The sequence below is a fragment of the Homo sapiens genome, chromosome 4 (genome assembly GCF_000001405.40).
Source record: "Homo sapiens chromosome 4, GRCh38.p14 Primary Assembly".
Classification (NCBI taxonomy): domain Eukaryota; kingdom Metazoa; phylum Chordata; class Mammalia; order Primates; family Hominidae; genus Homo; species Homo sapiens.
In genome coordinates this window covers 168,404,561-168,428,300 of record NC_000004.12, presented here as the reverse complement: position 1 = coordinate 168,428,300, position 23,740 = coordinate 168,404,561, and the positions used below count along the sequence as shown (strand labels likewise).

The following is a 23,740-nucleotide window of genomic DNA, read 5'->3' as shown; positions in this document are numbered from 1 at the left end:
GTTGGGTCTCTCTCCTAGAGCTATTTAAGGGTCCATCCAGCCACACAACACATGCTTTCAACTGCAGAGGCTCCACCTCAGCCCACAGACCTAACCTCCTCTGGGCTGAGGGTGGCCAGGTGGGGCTGGCTCAGGCAAAGGTCCAGGCTTGGCTTCAAGCATAAGGATCAAAGTGAATACAGCATCCTGAAGCAACCATCTTCTGCAGCCTTTGTGCAAGGGCCTCACCCAGCTGAGCCCTTTGCTTTGCCAAGCCCTGTGCCCAAGGCTGGCTCCTGGGGCCCAGGCTGTGCACCTCTGCTCCTTTGGCAGCCCTAATTGCAGGGCCAGGAACTGATGGGAGCTCACTCAGTTCTGTTATGTTGGTAGTGTGAGGCCTAGGAGCAGCCTCCACACTGAAATAGAAGCAAAATGGGAATTAAATGTTTGATCTAGTTAGGGGAGAGGTGGGAAAAATTACCACCCCACTAAGTGTGTGTGACTCCTCCATTTTCCAGTGGGATTTCTGTTTTTTTCCCCACATTGACTAATGTCTGCTTAGACCGTTGGTGTTTTTCAACATGAATCTCCAAAGAGCGAGTGGGATCTGGGAGGCCCAAAATGCTTTGTGGGGTGGAGAATGAATAAATTAATTAAGTTCCAAATCCCCAAGAAGCTGCCCTACAATCAAGCTCAGTGGCTACTCTTTCTCTTCTTTGTTTTCTTCCATTTACTTTTACTTTTTTATTAATAATTTACACCATTTAGAAATCTAGAAAATATTCTGCAGTAAGAGGCAATTTACATTTATACTGAAGTTTAAGTAGGTTTGCATCATACAGACTTTAATTTTAAGAAAAGACATTAAGAATTCTTGCCTGTGCACGAGTAGAATGATGGCCAGAGTCCTCAGTAAGTGCACAAAAAATAATCTCACTAGTGAAATGTCATAATGGAATTTTCCCACTTGTTTCATATGTTCCTTTTATTATTGAGCAGAATACCAAACCCCACCAAATTACCAAAAAGAGTAAGAAAAAGTCATTTCTCAAAGAAGATCAGAACAAAGCTCAGCAAAACGATGATCTGCTGTTTTCTATTGAAGAGGAGATGAAGAACAATTTACATTCTGGAATAAGGAAATTGGAAGATTATTTGACATCATGTGCAAGTAATTCAGTGAAATTTGGAGTTGAAATGTTAGGATTAATTGCCTGCTTTAAAGCATGGAAAAAACATTGCCGAGGTGAAGGTATGGGACTCCATACTCTATGGATAAAGAGTAGTGATGAAAATATTAATGATGTTAACATATTTACTGAATGCATGGTTGTGCTAAAACTTTGTATAATCCATTGTCTGATTTTATTGTCAACATGACCCTTTAAGATAGTTATTATTATATTTTGCAGACAAGAAAGTGGAATTGCAGAGGTTAGACAGAGGGTCCCAACAGGGAAAAGATGGCACATTCAAAAAGAAATGAGGAGAGTATAAAGAAAAAACTCTTTCAAAAAGTGTGGAGAGAATTAAGGGGATCAGCAAAGCAAGGTGAGGCTCAGCAGCAGCAACAGGGCCTATCAGAGAAGGAAAGCTGTCAGCACCAGGGAGATGTGAAGTTGCTGTTGGGAGGTGATTCTCCATGGGTTTTTCCATGTTTCTGCCCGTCTAGCCAGCAGAAGCATTGACAGGTTCACTTCCAGACTATCTTTTTAAGTGTGTTTGTATAGTGAACAGGCTTGGAAGGAAGAAATTGTGTTCCTCTCTAGGGCAAAGGCCAAGTTTGTTTACTGTCCAGTTAATAAAGATCACATTTCCCTCCAGGGCAAAGAAGCAGGTTTTGCCTGAGACCCATTATAAAATATTTCGGTTTTCTAAGTGTAGATTTCCTTAGCTGTGACATCAACCTACTTTGTGTGTGGTTTCTACCTGGGCTCTTTATCTCCGCCATGGAGCACAAGGGGAACCGACATATACATGATGGTTATATTGTTAACTGGGCCATGATAATAAAGCCTTTTGTTTCTGACCCAGGAGTCTCATGTCTTTTGCCAGCAACCATGAGACTGTGAAAGACTAAATTTCTAGCTTGTAAATAGAATAAAATCTCAGCCCTTTCCTAGTTCTTGACAAGAGCAGGGGAGTGAACGGTTACCAGAATTCCTTGAGAGCCATAGCTATGGGGGAATAGATGCCCAATAGCACCTGCAGTCCTAGGTAACGGTACACAACCATTTCCACACTGTGGGCTGGCAGGGAGGGAAGTGGGTTGGAATGGGCCCTGCCTGCCTAGCATTCTAAGTGCTCCCTCAAATTTCTGTGGCTCCCTGTGCTCTCCTGTATCAATGTCTCCAACTGGCAGCAGAGAATGATTTTGGTGAAATATGTAGCAGAAATGATGTGTGCATACTATTTCCAGGTATTACGTCTTCATATGGCTTGTAGTGTGTGCTTTTATTACTTAGTTTCCTGAATATTGACTTGTGGAAGAGCCAACTGAGGGAAAGAATCAGAAAAAACTGAGTAGAGATATGTGATTTTTTTTTCTTTTTTTTGGGATGGAGTCTCACTGTCACCCAGGCTGGAGTGCAGTAGAGTGATCTTAGCTCACTGCAACCTCCACCTCCCAGATTCAAGCTTCAGGTGATTCTCCTGCCTTAGCCTCCTGAGTAGCTGGGATTACAGGCTCCTGCCACCATGCCTGGCTAATTTTTGTATTTTTAGTAGAGACGGGGTTTTGCCATGTTGGCCAGGCTGGTCTTGAACTCCTGACCTCAGGTGATCTATCCGCCAGGGCGTCCCAAAGAGCTAGGATTACAGGCTTGAGCCACTGTGCCCAGCCTGAGATATGTGATTTTGATGCTAGACCAAGCTGACAATTCCTCCTCAAGTTGTGGTTGATCACCCTGTCTTGAGTATGTCCTACTCAGATCCTTTTCACGTGTGGCCACGTGACTCTGTAGTCACGCTCATGTCTCTCTATTCTACTTCCCAGCAAAGCCAGTACCTCAGTGGGCTGTCAGAGACTATGCTCATTTTCATCTCTAAGCTTTAGCATATGTGTTTTTACTTGATGCCATATCAGATAGGAATTGCCATTAGCTATTAACAGAGATAGGAATTAATAATGGCTTAAAAAAGATAGTTTATTTCTCTTTCATGTAAAAGAAGTCCAGAGATAGGCAGTTCAGTGTCACTGGGAACTTAGGCTCCGCTATCATCGTATTGTACCGTTCTTAGTGCATGAGTTGTATTCTTAAAGTTATGTCATGAATGCAGTTGGTGGCTGATGCTACAGCCATGATAACTGTATTCCAAAACAAAGTAGGAAGAAGAAAAAGGGCAAATTTGTACATTCATGCTGTATTTCTTCTATGGAAGGAGGCTTCATCCCAGAAATTCCACCAATTTTTGCTTACTTCTCAATGGCCAAACTTAGTAACAAAACCGCACCAAACCACAGAGAGATTAGAAAATGTGAACTTTGAATTGGACCTATTGCAGTATCCATTAGTATGGGGATTTATAAGAAAGCATTGGGTGAGAATGGATGTTGAGGAGGTAATATCAGTTTCTGCTACAGATGTTCTTCTGCTTGTCTCTATTGGCCTAAATTCTGTGTGTCCTTCAAGGCCATCCTCTTGTGGAGTCCTCCCAACTTCTCCTGCTCACATAACACTGCTTCTATGACTCCATTTGGACCCTGAATTGTAAATCACTTAGATATTTTACTGATCTGTTTCAACACTAATCCCTTGTTCTCCAATTAGATTGAAGGTTCCTTGATGTAAGAACTCTGTCTTAAATTTCATTTGTACTTCCTTAAAGCATACATTGGTGGTCTGCATAAGCAGTTGCTCAGTAGTATTTGTTAAGAAAGAGGATATTTCTTAACAAAGAGGAAAGAGGATAAAGACTTTATATGACTTTATATGGAGTGGTTAGTAGTGGGATAGAGATAAAGAGGCTATAAGTGAACAGGAGGTAATAGAAGGGCTTAGGAGAGTCTGGATAGAATGATTGGGATGCAGTGAGGTTGTATCTTAGCCCTCAATAATTGAAGGGTTCTGCTGATGGTTTCATAAATACAAGTACTGTATGTGGTCAAGAGTAGGCCTTGATAAATGTTGCTCATGTTTTGGTCAGGCATCTAAAATCATAGGACTTTTTCCTGTGAACAAGAGTAGAAGACACACAAATAATATGTGGGTTATTGTGTTATTTTTCTCTGGAAATGAGTACAGAGCTCAGTTTAAATGGTTCATATTTCTGCTATAAATCACAAAGTTTGTTTCTTTTCTTTTTTGCCTATACTTACCCAGCTATGTCTAAGTTACTTAAGATGATAATTAAATGTGTGTAGATGGAGTTTTAATTTAATTTAATCATGAGTTTTAGTTTTTAATGCTCTAAAATCTCCTTTAAAGTCAAGTAAAATAGTGAGGTTTAATCACATGAGGTTAATTGATTAACTCAATGATTGTCGTAAGTGATCAACCAGTTATTTTTGGTGTTCTTTATAACAATTTTATTGTTTCTTTAACAAGGCAAAATTTCGAAAGATTTAAGTATAGCTGTTCAAATGATGAAAAGGATTCATTCACTCCTGGAGAGATACCCAGAAATTTTGGAAGCAGAACATCATCAATATATAGCTAAATGCCTTAAATATTTAGGCTTTAATGATCTGGCAAACTCTTTGGATCCAACTCTGGTAAGAGAACTAGAATTTCTTATACTTTAAATTTTTACTCAATTTTAATATGGAAGAATAACTAATAGGTCTAATGAAGTATCTCACATATAGAGTTATCAATTGACTATGTTTACTCTGATTCTAGTTTATAAAATAATAGATATGAGATTACTTATTAATAACCTAGCTGCCAAACTTTGAAGTAAATTAAAATTAGAAAATTTGTACAGATGCTTCCTGAAAACAGAAATTAAATACTAGATGATATCCAGATGCCACTTTAAACCCTCTTGGTAACAGGAATGAATCCTATACTTAATTCTAGTGCAATCTAAAAACTGTAATGTAGTGAGATTGAAGAATGGTCTTTAATAAGGTTCCAGGTTCCAATTCCAGGATGAACTTTTTTTAACGTTAATATCTGCTATTTGACTTTTCCCAAGAATAACATTTTAGGCAGGAAAACTCTTCTTACTTAAATATTACACTATTTAAAAGCATAGTAGGCCAGGCATGGTAGCTCACGCCTGTAATCTCAGCACTTTGGAAGGTCAAGGTGAGCAGATCACTTGAGCCCAGTAGTTCAAGACCAGCCTGGGTAACATGGCAACACCCTGTCTCTACAACACACACACACACACACACACACACACACAATATTAGCCACAATTGATAGCATGTGCCTGTAGTCCCAGCTACTCAGCCAGGGCATGGGATAGGGAGTGGTGGGGCTGAGGTAGGAAGATCACTTGCACTCAGCAGTTCAAGGCTGCAGTGAGCTATGATGGCGTCACTGCACTCCAGCCTGGGTGACAGAGAAAGACCCTGTCTCAAAAAAATAAAAAAAAGTGTAGTAAAAATGCCTTGTGCATAGAATGTGCTCAGTGGATATTTAATAAATGTTTATTCAATTTTGAAGTTTAAGTTGATTTCAAATAATATATTAAAATAACAGATAGGAGATGACAAAAATAAGAAGAAATATTCGATTGACATTGGACCAGCTCGGTTTCAACTGCAATACATGGGCCATTACTTGATAAGAGATGAAAGAAAAGATCGGGATCCCAGGGTCCAGGATTTTATTCCCAACGCATGGCAGGTAATGACAACAAACATTGTACTTTTCTAATCAGTGTGACTTCAGAACTTTTCATTACTGTGTCTCTACATGTCAAATTTTGCATAAACTTCTTAATCTTGTTTAATGTCTTTCCTCTACTGTGCCTGGAGAATGTAACTAGAGTATGAGAAATCATTCATTTCTTCCCCTTCTTGGCCTTTTTATTTTCACCATCAGTGGAAGTTATACTGATACCTGTTTGTATGTGAAGGCATGCTAATGTGGCATTACTAGTTCTTACAGCTCAGTTTTGGAAACCTCTTTCTGTACTTACTCAATGACAATTGGAAAAAGTGTTTTCTAATGGAAAAATATGTTTTACTCAGTCTCCCTTTCTATTTTGCAGAAATGAAACCCTCTCTCTAGGCCAAAATGTAAAACAAAATCTCTTTTCTGAGGGAATGGCATGAGTAATCCAGGTATTTTCCTGAATCCTTCGAGTGTTCACCAGACCTAATCTTCAGGGGTTCAGGGAGTTCCCCCAAAGGTAGCATAATACAGGCACAGGAGACAGAAGGTACAAAGGATACTGTCTGTGTTTTGGTAACATGCTGTTCACTTTCTTGACACAAATGGTGCTTTGTACCCTGCAGCAGGAACTCCTGGATGTGGTAGATAAGAATGAGTCAGCAGTGATTGTTGCCCCAACGTCCTCAGGCAAAACCTATGCTTCCTACTACTGCATGGAGAAAGTGCTGAGGGAGAGCGATGTCGGGGTGGTTGTGTACGTTGCACCCGCAAAGGTAGTGTTTGAATGACTTTCATTTTTGCTTTTGTTCCTGAACATCCCCTTTAAAAAGAATGCACACGGTCACATGCTAGATCTAATTCACTGTTATTTTATTTTTGAGACAGAGTCTTGCTCTGTCACTCAGGCTGGAGTGCAGTGGCGCGATCTCGGCTCACTGCAACCTCCACCTCCCGTGTTCAAGTGATTCTCCCGCCTCAGCCTCATGAGTAGCTGGGATTATAGGCACGTGCTGCCATGCTGGGCTAATTTTTGTGTTTTTAGTAGAGACAGGGTTTCACCATGTTGGCTAGGCTGGTCTTGATCACCTCAGGTGATCCACCCACCTTGGCCTCCTGAAGTGTTGGGATTACAGGCGTGAGCCACCGTGCCCGGCCAAGAAACTATTTTTGATATTTTTATTTCATCTCATATGTTAATATTTTCATTTATAGTTACTGCAATTATACTTATTTTTAGAAAATATTTCACTATCATGAATATAAAAATGATGACTATAGTATTTTTAAGGATTAATTTTTTAAAAATTTACATTTTAAGTTGTTTCCCTTTCTTTCTTTCTCTCTCCCCTTTCCTTTTTTATTTTCCCTCCCTCCCTTGGAGTGGTATGCTATGATTATAATTATGAAGATTTATGTTTTTCTTTTAATTAATATTGTTTCAATTAAAAAATACAGCCAGGTATATATGACTTCCATTTCCAGCAATATGGCCATATAGGTCAACAGAAAAATCTCTTTGTGTAAAATACCTGAAATGCTGGATAAGAGACACCAAACATCTTTTTATATAATTATAGTTAAGCTCAGAACAATAGAAGGGGAATCCTAGGGGCTGAAAATTTTAAGAGAAGGCCACATGGGCTCTTTGCCTCTTTTAGGCAGCAAGTTGCAGGGGCTTAAATAAGAAAGGATCCCGACAAACACAGGCAGAGAGAGCACTAGGAGGATCCCAGGCAGAGCAATGGTGGTTTACCTGGAATCATGAACCAGATATTCAATAGAAAGTCATTCATTTGCCCATTGTCACCATATACATGATATGTAATATCTGTCTGTCTGTCTGTCTGTCTATCTATCTATCTATCTATCTATCTATCTATCTATCTATCTCATGTGTGTGTGTGTGTGTGTGTGTGTGTATGTGTGTGTGTGTTTAAAATCAAGGAGGATCAAAGAGAATACTCAGTGGTATCAGATAATTTCATTACCATCTGTATTTTTCCCTACTTCATTTCATTTTCATTGAAGTGTGTGTGTGTGTGTGTGTGTGTGTGTGTGTGTGTGTGTGTATGTGTATGGATTCGGTTGTCCTCAAGGTTTTATATGTCTCTTCTCTACTAAGTGACTAATGGTTTTTTTTCTTGTCAATCAGTCCCTTGTTGGTCAAGTGGCTGCAACTGTTGAGAATCGTTTTACTAAAACGTTGCCTGCCGGCAGAACTCTATGCGGTGCTTTTACAAGAGATTATTGTCACAATGTACTAAACTGTCAGGTATGACATATTAATTAATGAGTTTATTATCAAATTATAGAGCAGTACTTATATAACTGTTTTGCTGGGAATCTGCAAAACACAAGCCCTTATAGAAATCATTTCACTGAATTCACAAAGAAAATGAAATTGCTCTAAGGAAAATTTAAGGTTGTTCTACTCTAAAAAGTAAGAACTAGGCTCACCATCTCTAAGGATATTCACATTGTGAACTGAAATTTCAAATAGAAAGTTATGATATTTCATTATAACTTAGAGAGGGAGTCAAGTAGATTTGACAAACCCAATGCATTACTAAATGACTATCCAACCTTGTCTTTCCATTCAAAATTGCTAGGTCTTGTGAACAATATTTATACTTACATTGTGATCTGAAATTTCAAATAGAAGATTATGATATTTCAGTATAACTTAGAAAGGGATTCAAGTAGATTTAACAAACCCAATGCATTACTAAATGACTACCCAACCTTTTCTTTCCATTCAAAATTGCTAGTTCTTTTGAATGATATTTATGGATCCTCATAATAAAACCTTGTCTCAAAAAGATTGTGTGTTGATAGTGGACCCGTCGATAGGTAAATCATAGATTAAGATAGATTGTCTCCCTTATTGAATTCACAAAGTAGACATTTAAGACTAAACAAAATGTAAAACAGTCGTTACAGAGTAGAAGCTCTTTTTCATTTTCATTAATCCAAATGTTCATAAATGTAAAGACTTAAATGAAAAACGTCAAAGATGCAATATTATCTTAATGAAACTGCTATCAGCAGCAGCATATTTTCTAGGTTCCTATTACTATGCCTGATATAAAATTAATGCTCCATAAAGTTAGCTACACTAATCATTCATATTTGTAGGTACTTATTACAGTGCCGGAATGTTTTGAAATCCTGTTGCTTGCTCCTCATCGCCAAAAATGGGTGGAAAGGATCAGATATGTTATATTTGATGAGGTAGGTTTGGTGTTAGTTCTCTGGTTGATGTTCTAGTCTGCATACACCCTATAATTTGTAATTTAAAGAATATAGGGCTTTTTCAATGATGGCAGTTAAGTTGTGCGTCAGCCAGGGTACCAATGGAAAACAGATTGCATATTCACGTTAGTACAATTTTTAGAAAAGTGTTTTTACTAAGGGGCTGTTTACAAAGGTTTGTACAAGGGAAACCACAAGGTAAGTGCAGTAATCCAGAATAGTACAAGCCTTTCAACCCTGTAAGGATGAAGGGAGGGGGAAGCATTATGAACCTTAACAGAAGAGAGATTCTATAGATATGTCTCTTTGAGAAGAACAGTGACCTTGGTGAAGAAATGCAGCTGGCCAAGGTTGACCTCTTAGGGAGAGAGAGCAAAAGAATAAAGACCTTGACCTCACTGTCTTCTCTCCTTCCCATTTCTTGCCTAGGCTTCCCACTGGCCAAACCCAGTAGAAGCTAGAGGGCTAAGGAGGCTGGGTGAGCCAATTCCCAAGGTCAGACTCATTGGCCAGAGAGGAAGGTGGCGAATGGTGTAGATCTGGAAGGACATAGCTATGTTATTATCAAAATGAATGGAAAGAACTGTAAATAGAATTCAAGCTTTGTATTTTGTTGCTTCAAGGAATTTTCAACTTAAAGGAAAACTAGGTGATAAACCTATGTAGTGAATCTACTCCTTTTTTGTGTGAAGTTGAGAGTTGGTAGACATGCTGTCATTCTGCTTTCTTTGTGCTGAAAGTAGTCTGTTTCCTTTTATGCATCAGGCTGTATTGTGTGTTGCTGACTTTGAACATTCCCGTTTTAAGGGAAAACAAAACAAAACAAAAACCTTGATCTTTATGATCTAGAACCTTGGATTGTGGTCTCATCTCAAAATGCCTAAGCACAATAATGTTAAAACATGGGTAATGAGGCCGGGTGTGGTGGCTCATGCCTGTAAACCCAGTACTTTGGGAGGCTGAGGCGGGTGGATCACCTGAGGTCAGGAGTTCGAGACCAGCCTGACCAACATGGTGAAACCCCGTCTCTACTACAAATACAAAAACTATCCAGGCATGGTGGCATGCTCCCGTAATCTCAGCTATTCGGGAGACTGAGGCAGGAAAATCACTTGAACCCGGGAGGCAGAGGTTGCAGTGAGCCAAGATCACACCACTGCACTTCAGCCTGGGCAACAATAACGAAACTCCATCTCAAAACAAAAAACAAAATGTGGGTAACTTTGGTTTTCTGATTTATACATGCACAAAACTTGATTGTAAGAAGGCTTTAAAAATTGTTTATTCTAGAAAGTTCAGAGAAATTGCCTGCTGATACAAAATATAAGATTAGCATTTGGTAAAGTGGGCGATTATCTGACTAGATCAAAGTCAGAAGGGATATGAAAATATTCTTCTTTATGTATTTATTACTAGCCTTGATTAGTAAGTCTTTCCAGCTGAGACCCAATTGTCACGATGTATTCTGTTTAAGACCAAAATTTGGACCTCCTCTCTAAGTCTTAATTTGCATTATTGAACCAAAGAGGATTGATTCATTCATTCAACAGATATTAATTGAGTACCTACTCTGTGCTAGACACTGTGCTTTCTCCCTGATATGCCAGTACTGACCTTGTGGTTTAGTGAAGGGGAGAGCAATTAAATAAGTAAATGTACCAATGAAAATATAAGTAAACATTGTGATACAAACTCTGAAGAAAAAAAAATCAGTTAGTTTTCACCAAGATAATAGCAAAATGGGAAGTAAGAACAACAACTTTGGAGCAGGTACTCAGGGAAGGTGTTTCTGAGGCAATGACCTTCAGCTGGGCTTTGCAGGGATAAGCAGGAATGGTCAGCTAAGAGGTGGATGAGGATTTTAAGTAGCAGGGTCGTATATGTGAAGGCCCTCAGGTGGAACACGTGTGTTCAAGGTATGAAAAGAAGGCCAGTATGTTGGGAGCAGAGTGCATGGCGGGGAAAGTGGCCTGAGATGGGGTTGGAAAGGTGGGAAGAAGCCAGACCATGCAGGAAGTTACACTTCCAGTTAAGCAGCTTGTGGTTTACTGTAAATGCATTGGGAGGACAGTGTAGGGATTTAATTAGGTATGTAGCCTAATTTGATTTTTGTTTAATAATACCATTAGGGCTATGATGTGAAGAAAGTATAGAGAAAGAGTGGAAGCTAAGAGAAAAATCAGAAGGCTGTTGTAGAAAGCCAGGTGATGGTGGCTTCAATGACAACAAAAAATGGAGAGAAAAACATAGCTTCAAAATAGATTTTTGGAATTGGAATCTGTAGGAATTAATAATGGTTTCGATATGGAGATTGGAGACAGTTAAGTGTCATGATGTCTATTGTCTGAATTTATCACCATTCACTTTATTTAGGTTAGGTCATTTATAGGAAACTGGAAAAATATGCATGATGATTTTATGCTTCTATTTTTTATTTACGATTTTGACATCAACTTTTCAACTGATTTTTTTTTCTTTACTAGGTCCATTATCTTGGCAGAGAAGTTGGAGCAAAATTTTGGGAGCTCCTCCTTGTCATTATTCGATGTCCCTTTTTGGTTCTTTCAGCTACCATAAATAACCCAAATCTTCTCACCAAGTAGGTATAGGTAAAAAGAGTGGTTGTTATATATTCAGTGGTTGAATTATATACTGTCTATATGGTCTGAAGTCTTTAAGGTTTTTTCTATGATAACTTTCAAATAAATTTATTACCCAATCTTTGAAACGTCAGTGGTCTTGCTTTGTTGCCCAGGCTGGCCTTAAACTCCTGGGCTGAAGGAATCCTCCCACCTCAGCCTCCTGAGTAGCTGGGACCACAGGTGTACATTACCATGTCTGGCTTTCTCAAATTTTTTTGAAGATATATTTCCTGGAAGTTAGAGAAGGAAAACATCTTCTCCAAAGAAAATCAAGGTCTCCCATAGCCAGATCTGAAATTGTGCAGGACAATTTCTAAAAATTTTCAAGTAAATGTCATCTGAAGTAAGAGAGAGAATTGTATCCCCCTTTCTTTGTCCTTATCCAATAATTAAAGCTAAAATGGAAATAACTGGGACACAGTCATTGACCTTGCAGATGACAATCATAAGAACAACAAAGCATTATATGAACGTCAAGTATTGTTTTGTTACCAGACTTGATTTTTCCTGGTAACAGCGACGATGGCAGTAACAGCAGCACTGGTAACAAGCACACAGTGCTTTCTATGTGGCAGGCACGCTAACTCATTCAAGCCACGCAACACCCTTATGAGAAAGATACTTTCGTTATCTTCTATGTTATGATGGAGAAAGGGAGGCATAGAGAAGCTGAGGAATTTGCCCAAAGTCCACAGCTCTGAAGTCAACTCAGGTGGTTTAAATTGAGAGGGCATGCTCTAAATTTTTAAACTTGTGAAATTTTCTTTGTTTAAAATATCCAAGTTCTTGATAAATACTTCTATATTTTATTTAAATTATATGCATGTTTATTCTGTAAGGTGGCTGCAATCAGTAAAACAGTACTGGAAACAGGCAGACAAGATTATGGAAGAGAAATGTATTTCTGAAAAACAGGCTGACAAATGTCTCAACTTTCTCCAAGACCATTCATATAAAAATCAATCATATGAAGTTAGACTTGGTAAGCTTATTTTTTTTATGTTTTACTATATATTTTTATATTTTACTACAAAGCTTTTTATAGGGATTTTTGTGTTTTAAATCCATATTCTAATAATCGTATGTCCATTAATTTGGATATTCTTGCTCTTCGTATCTAGTGCTCTGTGGAGAGAGATACAATGATTTAGAGAAGCATATATGTTCAGTAAAACATGATGATGTTTATTTTGATCATTTTCATCCCTGTGCTGCGCTAACGACAGATATTGTAAGTATAAAAGTGTATTTGTCCTGTTAGTGGAATTTTTAGTGTATATCGCAACTGGAAAGGGACTCAATCTTCATAGAACTGCAGCATGTATAGATAATCTTTTTCTTTCTTTACTGATTCTTTTATTTTATTCATTGATTTTTTAAATTTAATACATTTTTTATTTTTAATTTTGTGGGCATCTAAAGTAGCTGTATATATGGGGCACATGAGATATTTTGATACAGACATGCAATGCATAATAACCACGTCAGACTAAATGAGGTATGTATCCACTACCTCAAGCATTTATCCTTTAATGGATACACAATGGTAATTATGTATCCATTACCTCAAGCATAATAACCACATCAGACTAAATGAGGTATGTATCCATTACCTTAAGCACAATCCAATTCTACTCTTTTAGTTATTTTAAAATATACAATAAATTACTGTTAGCTATAATCCCTCTGTTGTGCTATCACATACTAGATCTTATTTATTCTATCTATTTTTTTGTGCTCATTAACCATTCCCTCTTCCACCCAACCCACTGTCTTTGCTAGCCTCTGGTAACCATCACTCTACTCTCTGTCTCCATGCATTCCATTGTTTTAATTTTTAGCTCCCACAGATAAGTTAGAACACGTGAAGTTTTTCTTTCTGTGCCTGGCTTATTTCACTTAACATAGTGACATCCAATTCCATCTATGTTGTTGCAAACGATAGGATCTTATTTTTTTTTATGGCTGAATGGTATTCCACTGTTTTTAAGTGCCACATTTTCTTTATTCATTAATTTGTTGATGGGCACTTAGGTTTCTTCCAAATCTTGGCTATTGTGAATGGCGCTGCAATAAACATGAGAGTCCGGATACCTCTTTGATATACTGATTTCCTTTTTTTTAAGTATATATGTAGCAGTGGTATTGCTGGATCATAAGGTAGCTCTAGTTTTAGTTTTTTGACTTTTTGTTGTTTCTATTAATATCTTATTGTATTGTCTGTCTTGAAAAGTTGCTGTGGCTGTAATTTGTGATAGGTTCATTGTTTTGTCTTTCTACTGAAGATATACTCATATCACAATTACAATGTTATAATATTCTGTGTTTTTCTGTGTACTTACTAGTAAGTTTTTTTACCTTCAGGTGGTTTCTTAATGCTCATTAACATCCTTTTCTTTCCCACTGAAGAACTCCCTTTAGCACTTCTTGTAGGACAGGTGTTGCTGAAATCTCTTAGCTTTTGTCTGAGGAAGTCTTTATTTCTCCTTCATGTCTGAAGGATATTTTCACTGGATATACTATCCCATGATAAAAGATTTTTTCCTTCAGCCCTTTATGTCATGCCACTCTCTTCTGGCCTGTGAGGTTTCCACTGAGAAGTCTGCTGCCAGACATATAGGAGCACCATTGTGTTATTTGTTTCTTTTCTCTTGCTGCTTTTAGGATCCTTTCTTTATTCTTGACCTTTGGGAGTATGATTATTAAATGTCTTGAGATAGTCTTCTTTGGGTTAAATCTGCTTGGTGTTCTATATCTTCTTGTATATGAGTATTGGTATATTTCTCTAGGTTTGGGAAGTTTTCTGTTATTATCCCTTTGAATAAACTTTCTCCTCACTCTAGGGGTTTTAAGCCCCTTTAAGGCCAATAAATCTTAGATTTGCCCTTTTGAGGCTATTTTCTATATCTTACAGGAATGCTTTTATCATTTTTAATTCTCTTTTCTTTTTTCTCTTTTGACTATATATTTTCAAATAGCCTTTCTTCAGGCTCACTAATGCTCACTTCTGCTTGATTAATTTTGCTATCAAGAGACTCTGGTGGATTCTTCAGTATGTCAGCTTTTGCTTGATTCTTTTTAATTATTTCAATATCTTTGTTAAATTTATCTAATAGGATCCTGCTATCATTCTATTGATATTATATATCACATTGATTTGTGTATGTAGAACCATCCCTACATTGCTGTGATAAATCCCATGTGGCCATAATGAAATATCTTTTAAATGTGTTGTTTAACTCAGTTCGCTAGCATTTTGTTGAGGAGTTTTGCATTAATATTCATCAGGGATATTGGCCTGTAGTTTTCTTTTTTTAATGTGTCTTTGCCTTGTTTTGATATCAGGGTAATACTGGCTTTTTGAGTTTCCTCAAAACAGCTATTTTAAATTATCGGCCTGAAAAGTCACATATCTTTGTCTTTCCATAATTGGTTCCTGGTACCTTATTTAGTTCATTAGGTGAGGTCATATTTTCCTGGATGGTCTTGATGCTTGTGGATATTCATTGATGCTTAGACATTAAGTAGTTAGGCATTTATTGTAGTCTTCACAGTCTGGGCTTATTTGTACTTGTCCTTGAGAAGGCTTCCCAGGTATTTGGAGGGACTTGGATGTTGTGATCTAAGATTTTGGTCACTGCAGCCATTATCTGCACTGGGGGGCACCCCAAGCTCAGTGAGGCTGTGGCTCTTGCAGTCTCATAGAGGAACCACTTTGGTGATTTGGATAAGATCCTGAATAATTCTCTGGATTATCAGAGACTTTAGTTTTCTTCCCTTACTGTCTCCCAAACAAATGGAATCTTTTTCTCTGTGTTGAGCTGCCTGGAGCTGGGAAGAGAAAGCAACATAGCATCCCTGTGGTCTCCACTGCAGAGACTGCACTGGGTTAGAATGGAATCAAGCACAGCACTAGGTATTGCCCTAGGCTCACAATAATCATTGTCTGGCTACTGCCAATTTTCATTCAAGGCCTGAGGACTCTACAATCAGTAGGTGGTGAAGCCAGCCAGGCTGGTGTCCTTTTCTTCAAGGTGGCAGGTTCCCCGGATCTCACGTGGGTCCAGAGATGTTGTTTGGGATCCAGGGCTTGGAGTCAGGATCTATCTACTCTTCCCTTTTTTTTTCCCACAAGTAGAGGAGTCTCTCTCTGTGACCACCAGCGGCCCTGGCCCATGGTGAGTTTTTCCTGGCTACTGCTAATCTTCACTCAAGGCCCAAGGCCTCTTCAGTCAGCTTATGGTGAATGCTACAAGGCCTGGGTCTCTCCCTTCAGGCCAACAGGCTTTTCTCTGGCCCAGGGTAAGTTCAGAGATGCCATCCAAGAGCCAGGGCCTGCACTTGGGGACCCCAAGAGCCTGCTCAGTGCTCTACTCCACTGTGCCTGAGTTGGCATCTGAGCTGCAAGACAAAGTCCCATTTACTCTTCCCTCTCTTTTCTTCAAGCAGAAGTAGTCTCTCCCCATAGCCACCACAGCTAGGAAGGTGCTGGGTCATATCTGAAGCCAGCATGCCTCAGAGTATCACCCCAGGCACACGGCCACGTACTACCTAGCTACCACTGCTGCTTATTCAGGGCCCAAGTGCTCTTTATTCAGTGGGTGATGAATCCTGCCAAATCTGGGTCCATCTTTTCAAGGCAGCAGGTTTCAGCATGTGTCTAGAAAGGTCTGGGAGCGAGGGCCTGGAATGGGGGCCTCATGACTTTGCTCAGTGCTCTATCCTACTGTGGCTAAGCTGGTGTCCAAGTTTGAAGACAAAGTCGTCTTTACTCTTCCCTCTCCTCTCAGCAAGCAGAAGGGAGGAGTTTTGCTCAGAGCTGCGAGCTGCACTGCTTAGGGTTGGGGGAGGGATGATGCAATCACTCCCTAGCTCTCCTCAGCTGGTGTCTCAGTAGATTGCATACACCCCAAGTCCATAGGCTCTGAGCCCAGCACAGCACCATGACTTGCCCAGGAATTGTAGTCCTTGTGGCCTAGGCTGCTTTTCAAGTTTATTTAGGACCCTCGGGCACTTTAACCCCCAGTGACGAGCTTGCCAGTTTCAGAATTACCCATCCTGGAAGTCAGGTTTCGACTGCTGGGATGGGCAGTTCTCCTCTGGGTCAGGCTAGTCTAAATGCTCCCTCCACTGGTGCCAGCTGAGTTCTGCCTGGTGTTGCTTTTCGCTGTGACAGGGTAACACTGAATTCTAATGCAAAGTCCCAGTCACCATGCTTTCCCTCTTCCAAGTGCACAGACTCTCTCTGCATGCCATGTGGCCACTGCTGGAGGATGTGGGATGGGTGGCATTGGCAGGTCGACACTGTCTTTCCTGCCCTCTTCAGTGCCTCCTTCAGTGATACAGAGTTAAAACCAGATACTGTGATCACTCACCTGATTTTTGGTTCTTATAAAGGTGCCTTTTGTGTGCATAGTTGTTCAATTTGGAGTTCCTGTAGGGGCTGATTCTCACAGGAGGCTTCTATTAGGCCATCTTTACAGATAATCTTAACCTCAGGTACACGGACATCAAGGATGGACTTCATAGAAAAGTGAAAAACCCCTAAATTGTGTGTGTATACATTCTTCTAGCTTTCATTAGATCCTCAAAGTCATTTGGGACACCCAAAGTTTAATAACTGGAGAGGAAGTAATGGAGAGTTCTAATTCGGGTTCTTTGGTTAGTTTATTCCTTTTCTTTATTTACAGACATTATCCTTTCCTATTTACGGCTTCTTAGTATCTATTTCTGTCTTCTACTTCTCTGTGACTAACAGTGCTGCCACAACTGTATTGGCAGTCCTCATTCATGTCCGAAGTTCCCATTACCAAATGATCTGAACAGGGAAGAGACATTTCCTACCAACATAAAAATCGGAACATGACTTTTTTCATGGTGGATTGAGAAGATGAAGTTTTCGGAGATCTCACTTGAGGCACTGGATTATGAGTGTGGGAAGACATTAATTTCTCCTGCTATTCTCTCCTCTTTTTCCATCCTATCTCTGTTATTAAATTATATAGGTTCAAGTTGCCTTGTGAAGATATAATGACATTAGCCAATAGTTGGTCCTTTTTTTATTACTTTATATCCAAAATTATGCTGTTCCATTTATCTTCCTAAAACATAATTCTGATCCTGTCCTTATTCTACTCAAAAGTCTTCAATGTTTCTCCACTGGAAATAAATTTCAGACTTTGTAGCCTGGCATTCAAATCTTCTATAACTTAGACTTTCCTCAGCTTTTCACTCAAACCCTGGATGTAGCTTACCTAAAGGGTTCATGCTGTGTACTATACCTGGAATGCTTCATTCCAGATGCCAAACTCTAAGTTTCCAGATTCTATTCGTCTTCCATGTCTTTGCTAATGTGAGATTTTTTTTTCCAGAAGTCTTTCTATGATCTCTCCACATGGATGGAATTAATCTTCTTTTCTGATAATATGTAACTTATTATTTGTACTTTTTAAATGACACCAATTATGTTTAGCCTGCTGTTATAATTTTTTGCTTTCATGTCTTCTTTTTCTTATTAAATTATAAAATTGTTAATGAAAAATTTTGCACTTTTTCACCCCTGGATTACCTTATAGCTAGCTCATAGTGCCATATACACAAAAGTTGCTCAGTAAATATTTGTGGAATGATGATTGCAAAGATGTGTTGAGAATTTACGTGGCAGGCACTTGTTAATATTTATATATATTTCTCTTTTAACCTTCACAACATCTTTATAATAAATGTACTATAATTATTCCCAACTTACAGATGAGGAAAAAGAGGGCTAGTGAGGTTGTTTAACTAGTCCAAGGACTCAGTTAGTAATTGTCAGACTATGGTACAAACTCAGAAGTTCTGACCCCAAAGCCTAATGTTCTTAATCATAGTGTTATACTAAATAATTTGTGGATCGAATGCACGAGTAAGGAATTAAATGGAAATTACTTCATAGATTCTGAGCTATGGTGATTAAGGGCATGTAAAACTCACTTAAAGTGATTCTGTCTTCCAGACATTTTCAAACATAATTTTATTATGTAGTTTTTTCTTGGCTTTGCAGTGACTCATTCCAAATGGCATTTCTGTCCCTATCCCTCCCTATTTCTCTGACTCTGTGCTTAGGGAATAGATATATGATAAGCATACATCACTCTTTAAGCCTTCCAATTATATTTTGATATCTTCAGCATTGAATTTTCAGCAAGTTTTTAGTTGCATAGTATTTTATAATTTTTTAATGGTTTACTCTGCTTAGAGTGATTTAAGGTAAGTTACCTTTAAGCATTTGTGAGTACAGTGGCCTGGAGTTCTTGGTAAGATCATCATTTTGGCCATGTGCCTTCGTCTATTCTCAGTAGCTATTAATGGAGTAATTGGAAAGCAACAGAACCATTACAGTGTGTTCTGACCCTGTATGACTTCTGCAGAGCTGTGCTGTTGTATGAATCTTCTCAGCTCTTTACTCTGTGATACTTTACTTTTGTAAAGTAACTAGACAACTAGAGAGACATGCTTCTTAAAATGCTTAGACAACTGGTTAAATTTGTGAGGTGTGCATTTATATAAGACCTTTCTTCGTGCTCCTAAGATAGCAATGACAATAGCAAGATGGTCTATCCAAATGAGTATAGTATTCATGAGATTACACTGAAATTGTTCATTCATGAGGGGAAGCAGAATACATTGAAGCAACAGGAGAAGAATGTAAAGGAACCTTCTAACCTTGGATTTATTCTCTGTAACACTCATGGAAATAGCTTTGGGAAGGAAGGCATGGGAACAGGATGAGTGAGCTGGCTTTAATCCAGCTGTGGTGAGGGATCACTGCAATCCATATATGGCTTGTTCCTGGGCTAAGGGAAGAGCTGCACAGCCTTCCTACAAATTATGCTGCCGTAAAAGAACAGCTGCTCAGTGCCCAAAGAGGCTGTCGGCACCAGGCAGTCCTCGAAAGAACTACTGTCTGTCTCTTTCTGTGTAGTTCTGATAAATGCTTAGTATGTAACTTTTTTACTTATTTTTTGTTCATTTTAATTTTTTTTTCAAAAGGAGCATTGTGGTATGATATGCTTTTGTTTATGAATGAAGAAGTACAAACCGATACAACCATATAATGATCTTTTATATATTGTCTTTCTATATAATTTTATGTATTATCTAGGCCAGCTTAAGAGAAACCAGCTAATTACATGTTGTGCAGAGGAGAACAATTGAATTGAATATATCCTTTTAGTGATACAGTTGACAAAGTGATGAAAAAGAATACCTGAAAGTTAATAATCAGTCACTATGATGGATGGGATACTCAAAAAGAGTCAGGCATTTTAACAGCATATTGTATACATTATATCATTTAATCCTCACAACAAATCTGTGGTGTAAGGATAATTATTCCCATTTTAGAGACGGGAAACCAAGGCATTCATAAAGGAAGGGAGATGCTTTGAAAATGAATCACTATTATTCTAGAGACCAAAATAGAAGCACAGCATTAGTATGTACTTGATAATTCTTAGAAAACTAATTACTTAAGTCAAGAATGGCTTCATTTATAGACAGAATATTTGGTCACCTGCAAGATGCAGTTTATGAGATACTGAAATCCTCACCTTCTGAGATAATGAATACAGTTACTAGTGTGTTCAAATGAAGTCCCTGCCAACTAGCTAGCTTCATAAATTCAATCTGAGAATTGCTAAATGATGATTCTTTATGTTGCATAACATAGAATAAAAAGAAAACCTTGCTATATTAACCTCTTGAATCTCACCACAATCTTGAAGACAAGCAATGAAGACATTGTCATTCTCATATTATAGACAAGAAAAACAGAACCCCAGGGAGTAGTGATTAGAGCTGTGATTAGAACCCAGCTGTGCGGTACAGTCCATCAAACAGCCTTTCTTTGCTTTCTGAACTCTATCTTTGGAGTGGCTCCTTTAGCCCAGTATTTCCAATCTTCTAGAAACCAGTAATAGGCATTTTTTAAAGGAAGGGTTCCTTCCTCAAGTATATTTGGGAGAAGTGTGATATCCTGTCCCTTTCTTAGAGATTCACAGTACACATGAACATAACAGAAACCTTGACATAAAGATACTTGGTTAACTTGCTTAATAGGGCCTTTCCCATAGTTACTCATCTTTAATTTTTTTCTTGGTGTTACGGTTTAGATGTTACTTTATCCCTTTTGTACATAATGGATTCGAAGAAGTGGTGATTGAAGCCAAAAGAGTATAGAACACAAAGGCTATGAGGACAGGATTTGTTCTTGTACCCTACATGGTGCTTTGCACACAACTAACATCAACAGTATTTGTGAGAGAAAAAGTAGTGCATGAGTTCTAAAGGCTTCAGACGGAAGCTGATCAGTAACCAGGGTAACCATCAGGTAGAAATTTCTTTGAGTATCTGAAGGTTGTCTGAGGGTCTTTGCCCTTATAAACTTGATCCGGCTCTTGTATTGGATCTCTAGGGGCAAAGGTTTGTCCCTTTTTACGTGGCTTGGTACCCATAAAATCATCTTCATCACTAAACACATTTTAATGTCTGTTTCAAAGGGATATTTCAAAAAGAAAGGTATATTTTTTGTCTAAACTGAGGCTATTCTGTAAGAGCTCATATTTTCCAGCCACCCAGTACCCTCACTGGCATTCTAAGGAAGTTTCATAGAGCAGTGTTAGTTTATTATCTAGTGCAAATAGTCTCAGGAAATAGTACTGAAACTTATTAGTGGATTTTGAAGTTTTCCATTTCAGCAGGTTAGGGATGCTACTTTGTTAAGACTTTATTAACAGATCCTTGCAGAGGTGAAATATTACAGTTGATTGCCTTTTAATGTCCCTGGATTCACAGGTAAAGACTTGAGGGTTTAGTCATGAAAGATAAAATAAAAGAAATATAAACATTGTAATTTTATTTCTTCATCCATCCATTAATTTGTTTATTCACAGATTGAAAAGTATGGATTCCCACCTGATCTTACCCTCACCCCTCAAGAAAGCATCCAGCTTTATGATACCATGGCTCAAGTCTGGGAAACTTGGCCCAGGGCTCAGGTAAATATAGAAATATATATTCACCAAAATGAACTTTAGTTAATGCTATTCCAGAATATAGCAAAATTACTCTACAGGTAAGCACACTTATTCTCTCTACTTGGTTGATGCTGCTATTTTGAAATAATCAGTTATTTTTTCTTATTTTCAGCCATTCTTTGTGACTTTATTATTGTACGTAGCATGGAATATTCTGTAATTCTCAAAAATATGTCTTCTTTTAGCTTTTGGGATACCATACTACTTTAATTGTGTTTTTGGACTTATATTCCTCTATTCTCTTCTCTGTTGGTTTTCATCTTTTCATCAGCTGTGCCCTGTATTCTTTCTTTTGAAGAGTTCACCCATCATCATAGGTTTATGTGTTAGAAATTATTGGGAGGTAAAAAGATGTTCAACAGCCTCTGCCCTCAAGGAGTTTGCAATTTTGTTAAGGAGACAAGTAAACTTAAATACATCATTGTATTTTTCTTACTATAGATTGCATAGCTTAGCTTAATTTTGTGATAATTTTCCCCCCAAGGAATTGTGTCCAGAGGAATTCATTCTTTTTAAGAATAAGATAGTCATTAAGAAGTTGGATGCTAGAAAATATGAAGAAAACTTAAAGGCAGAATTGACAAATTGGATTAAAAATGGCCAAGTGAAGAAGGTAATTTTCACACTTTCTTGGACAAAGTTTCACTTAATTGTTAATTGTTTGGAGTTGCATAATAATTTAGCCAATAAATGTTTTGTAATCTTTTTATTCCGATTTTTGTTTTAGTAATTCCATTTAAACATGTTATCCAGTGAGTATGAGATAGAATAAAGGAGGAGGGAAATGGTTTCATTTCTTAGCTCAGTGACCTTTAAAACATGCACCATAGGCTTTTGGTTTCTTCAGGTAACAGCTACAAACAGCTAAAAACGAAGAACCTTTAACTTTAACAGGAGAACCAATGTTGCCGAGGCTTTCACAGAAGAGGGACTGGCTCCAGAGGAATGATAGTGGAGATCAGGAATTAGTACAGGGGCTAATCTAAGAAAGTTTTGTGCAAATAAAAATAAATTATTTAAAAATAACCAATTTCTGAAACTCATGTACATGATGATAAATGAGAAAATATAAATATACCTGAAAGAGGCTCAGGCAAATTTATAGATGACAGACTCGTAGGTGGCTATGCTGAGAAGCAAAGATATCTTTGAGCATAACATTGATGCATCTTTGGTTCTAGTTTGCTGACTGTCATGTTTATTTGCATTTTTCACTCTGGTGGTGAAAGAAATAAAGATAAAAATGGTATGGGTTGGCCGGGAGTGGTGGCTCACACCTATAATCCCAGCACTTTGGGAAGCTGAGGCGAGTGGATCACTTGAGGCCAGAAGCTTGTGACCAGCCTGGCCAACATGGTGAAATCCTGTCTCTAAAAAAATACAAAAATTAGCCAGATGTGGTGGCGCATGCCTGTAATCCTAGCTACTCTGGAGATTGAAGTGGAAGAATCACTTGAGCCTGGGAGGCAGAGGTTGCAGTGAGCCAAGATCATGCCACTGTACTCCAGTCTGGGCAACAGAGGGAGACTCATCTTCAAAAAAAAAAAAAATGATACTGATGTTAGGAAATATTACAAATAATTTAGCCTGTTTGGCACAGAATGCTGTGTTCCATTAAATGTTAATCAGGGGAAAACTGAATACCAAGGATGTCCCTATTTGCCACCCCTCAAATGATAATTAAACTGGAAAATAACTTTGTCAAGAAAATTATTCATGATAGCCATAACTATTTCATCAAAGATTTTCCATTGTATATTATGTAAAGGAATTTAATGTTAATTTTCCTGATGTAAAATAACATTTATTTTTTCTGATTAAAAAAGAGGTAGATGCTGTTTATAAAAAAATTATCAAATATGGAATAGTAGGATAAAAGTTACTATCCACAATTTCAACAATATCTGAGGTGAACAACTTATTACACTTCTATTGGCCATTGTATTTTGTGACTCACTTATCTCTTGAATTTTCAGTTAAGCATTATAAACATGTCTGTATA

The 23,740-nt window shown here is 38.1% G+C and overlaps 1 protein-coding gene across 22 annotated transcripts in view; it reads left to right on the top strand.

Moving 5' to 3' along the window:
* DDX60L (DExD/H-box 60 like) overlaps positions 1-23,740 on the top strand; it is a 123,758-nt gene that overhangs the window by 52,192 nt on the left and 47,826 nt on the right. For 17 of the 22 annotated variants that reach the window (XM_047416399.1, XM_005263341.5, XM_011532403.3 and 14 more), the window contains 11 exons: positions 979-1,231; positions 4,527-4,693; positions 5,631-5,777; positions 6,392-6,541; positions 7,921-8,040; positions 8,904-8,999; positions 11,504-11,619; positions 12,502-12,644; positions 12,784-12,893; positions 21,595-21,699; positions 22,223-22,351. In XM_047416399.1, the coding sequence (XP_047272355.1) occupies positions 979-1,231; positions 4,527-4,693; positions 5,631-5,777; positions 6,392-6,541; positions 7,921-8,040; positions 8,904-8,999; positions 11,504-11,619; positions 12,502-12,644; positions 12,784-12,893; positions 21,595-21,699; positions 22,223-22,351 (1,536 nt within the window). Of the gene's footprint in view, positions 1-978; positions 1,232-1,391; positions 1,531-4,526; positions 4,694-5,630; positions 5,778-6,391; positions 6,542-7,920; positions 8,041-8,903; positions 9,000-11,503; positions 11,620-12,501; positions 12,645-12,783; positions 12,894-21,594; positions 21,700-22,222; positions 22,352-23,740 lie in introns of those variants that run through there. The other 5 variants (XM_011532405.2, XM_047416401.1, XM_017008829.2 and 2 more) reach the window with 3 other exon arrangements.